The sequence below is a fragment of the Homo sapiens genome, chromosome 22, assembly GCF_000001405.40.
Source record: "Homo sapiens chromosome 22, GRCh38.p14 Primary Assembly".
NCBI classification, from domain to species: domain Eukaryota; kingdom Metazoa; phylum Chordata; class Mammalia; order Primates; family Hominidae; genus Homo; species Homo sapiens.
The window spans coordinates 49,347,396-49,350,936 of record NC_000022.11 but is presented as its reverse complement, the minus strand read 5'-3'; the positions used below and the strand labels follow the sequence as shown (position 1 = coordinate 49,350,936).

Below are 3,541 nucleotides of genomic sequence, written 5' to 3'. Positions count from 1 at the left end.
TGTGAGGACCGCATTGCCTTACTGCTTTTATCCCTCCAGCTGTCGACAGATGGGCCCCTGGGCTGCTTCCACCCTCTGGCCGTTGTGAAGAAGGCTTCTACCAGCAGGGGTGTGCAATGGTCTCTTTGAATCTCTGCTTAAGAATCATAATTGCTAGAAGAGTGAGATGTGCAAACCCCACTTTATCTTGCAGTTTCGCAAAACAGGTGGCATGATCTGGTTGGTCCCCAGGTCTTAGGGAGGCAGGGAGGCCGGGCTGCAGAGAGCAGGTGCCGCAGGGTGCCCTGGAGGATGTGGAGGGGCCGCATCAGAGGCACTGGCAGCGCCTGCGGTCAGGGAGAGCACGGCCAGCCCGGAGTTTCTCCCGGTCAGGGACAGAAGCTCCATGGAGTCTTGGCAGGTGCCTCCAACAGCAGAGGTGCTAACTCTGACTTTTGTTTCCAAGCTTTGACCTTCAGGTCCTCGCTGACCCTGGAGGGACTGCTCCCCCGAGCTCTAATCCCTAGAGATGGTGGGTGACTTGCCTCTGAGCACACCTTTCAATACAAACCACTCAGATTGGAGGCCCCACCTCTCCCTCCTCCCTGGGCTCTCACACCCTGGGTCCCATCCTCCAGCCCTCATCGCCCCGGGCCAGGTGGCCGGCAGCCAGGGACAGCCCCTGCCCAGCTCCCACAGGGGTGTCCACACTGGGCAGTCCTAAGCCCGCTGCCCCACCCTGCCCGTTCCTTCCATGGAGCCACAGTAAAGGCTTTGCCCACGCTTCCCCTTCTCTGCGTGTGATGACCCTGGTGCCCCTGCGTGGCCTGGCGTGGCACGGGTGCCCCTCTTCTGGGGATCTGAGGGGCAAACTCTCTTCCCAAAGCAGGTGTTTCCTGCCCTGCTGGCTCTGCCTGACCTTGCATTTCCTACGCATGCTCTGTCCCTCAAAGCCTGTGGCTCTGCTCCTCACAGGCCTGTGAAGGGAGGGGCTCTGAGAGGCCCAGGGCAGGCGGGGGACCCATCGCTGGAGCTACTCTGGGAGTGGTGGCTGGCAGGGGGCCCCATCGCTGGAGCTACCCTGGCAGTGGTGGCTGACCAAGGGGCCATGCCCTCCCAGGCAGCAAGAGCCCTGTCCCATTGCCCCTCAGGACATAAGCCATTGTCCTCTGGCCCTTACTCCCCAAACCAGGCCCTTCCTTCCACCTTTCTGCAGAGATGTGAGTGCCTGTCGCCAATTGTCTTTCTGCTCCTGGGTGGCTGCAATCCAGCATCCACCTGCCCTTACTCGCTTTGTTGCTAATTGAATTGAGATATGACACTAAGCTCCACATGAAGCTCTGGAATTGAAATGGATTTGGAAGAAAACCCAGGCAGAAGCCACTGGCCTGCTCTCCTCTCTCGCAGGGCTGTGTGGAGGGCTGTTTTGCTGACCAGGCCTCGCCTCACAGCCACCTCTCGTGCCTTCTTCTCCCAGTTCCTTAGCTTCACACGCAGGTCAGCAACCAAACCTCCAGGCCTGGAATCCAGCCACGGCCCCAACCAGCAAGGTCAGGAAGGGGCAAGGAGAGGTGTCGTCCCCCCGAGGCCACCACAGAACACTGAGGGCGCTCTGCCATGTGGGCCGACGTGCCGAGCCCATATCCAGTTTCCGAGGACGGCACGGGTGTCCCCTGCTATGCGCTGGCCACTGCCATCTGCCAACCCTCCATACACCCAACACCAGAATGTCGGTCCTCTGGGTGGTTTTTGAGGAAACCTGGGAGGGAGTTAGAATAGGTTGGTAGGGACCGGGGATGGGAAGATTGCTGGATATAAAATCCTGGGAAATGACATTTTTCTCCCCAAGTCGGGTTTGGCCTGGAATGTCGCCGGACTGCTTCGTGGGTGCCAAGGTCAAGGTCAGCTCCCGGTGTTTTGACCTCCCCAGGTCAGCAGCCTGAAGAAGGAGAGAGAAAACGCCAGGAAGTGGCGGAGGTGCGGGCACCGAGGAAGGCCTTTGTGGTGACCGTGTGGGTGGGTCTGTGAGGTCGGTGGGGACCAGGGAAGGAGAGGGTGTGGCTGGGAGCTTCTCACTGCTTTTCCAAAAAGGCCATAGCTCAGGAAGTCTGGTGGCGTGGTTTGCAGGGCTGAATGGAGTAGCCGGCTCCTCGGAGGCAGCCAGGGTCCTGGGAGCTTGGCCGTTGCTGCTCAGGGCCTTGCTTGGAAGCCTGTCTTGGCTCTTGCCAAGCCCACTCTGGTTTCCCTCTCTCCCCTGCATGGTGGCTGCAGGGGGCTCAGGAGGGGCAGCTTGTTCCCAGGTGTGTGAGAGACGGAACCGTCCTGTCTTCCTTTCTCAGAACCAGACAGTTCAGGTAGACAGCATCCTACACCAGCGTTTCCTGGAATTGTTCTTAGCCTTGAGTGACAATGTCAGCAGTGCTGGAAAAGTGGGCTGAGCAGGCAAAGGGGACAGGAGAGGGAGACTCAGGGTCAGCAGATGCCTCCAGGGTGCAGAGAGGGCCCTGTGAGCTCCTCCATTATACCGATGCCTCCAGGGTTCAGAGAGGGCCCTGTGAACTCCTCCATTATACTGATGCCTCCAGGGTACAGAGAGCGCCCTGCAAGCTCCTCCATTATACCAATGCCTCCAGGGTGCAGAGAGCGCCCTGTGAGATCCTCCATTATATCAATGCCTCCAGGGTACAGAGAAGGCCCTGCGAGCTCCTCCATTATACCGATGCCTCCAGGGTGCAGAGAGGGCCCTGTGAGATCCTCTATGATACCAATGCCTCCAGGGTACAGAGAGGGCTCTGTGAGATCCTCCATTACACCAATGCCTCCAGGGTGCAGAGAGAGCCCTGTGAGATCCTCCATTATACCGGATGCAGACAGGTTCCCTGTGAGCTCCTCTATGATACCAATGCCTCCAGGGTGCAGAGAGGGCTCTGTGAGATCCTCCATTACACCAATGCCTCCAGGATGCAGAGAAGGCCCTGGAGCTTCTCCATTATACTGATGCCTCCAGGGCCCAGAGAGGGCCCTGCAATTTCCTCCATAATACCAATGCCTCCAGGGTGCAGAGAGGCCCTGTGAGCTCCTCCATTATTCTGATGCCTCCAGGACCCAGAGAGGGCCCTGTGAGCTTTCATCATACCAGGAAAACCAGGGGACTGAATCCATGTGGTTCTGTACCAGTGAGCAGTGGGGTCATTTGCTGTCTCTGTGTTGGCCTCTGTCCCTCCGGTTCATGCTGACAAGAGCCAGGGGCCAGTCTTTTGTTGTTGGCATGGGCCCCGCGGCCTGGTTCCTGGGTTGAAGCCGAAATCCTGCATGTGATGTCTGGGCTCCAACTCTCCAGAGTGTCGCTCAGCATGTGGTCTGGAGAGGACTCGAGGGGACGCATTGCTGAAACCCTTTATCATTCCTGACAGCCACCCCTCCCTGCGTTGCTGCTTGTAGCCCCTGGTCTTGTTCAACTTGTCCACCCCCCTCACCTTCATCAGCTCATCCCCAGCTCCAGCCCCACCCACCTCTCTTGAACTGGAGGCCTGGGCTCCTCCTCCCTCTGCCAGCCAGGCCC

General features: G+C 58.8%; 1 annotated feature.

Annotated features, from left to right (window-relative positions):
• Window positions 203–767: an enhancer, noted in NCBI's record as "H3K4me1 hESC enhancer chr22:49746095-49746659 (GRCh37/hg19 assembly coordinates)". NCBI's record gives its function as "activates a minimal SCP1, AML or CMV promoter by ChIP-STARR-seq in primed H9 embryonic stem cells {active_cell/tissue: H9 hESC(primed)}" and the evidence as "EXISTENCE:reporter gene assay evidence [ECO:0000049][PMID:30033119]".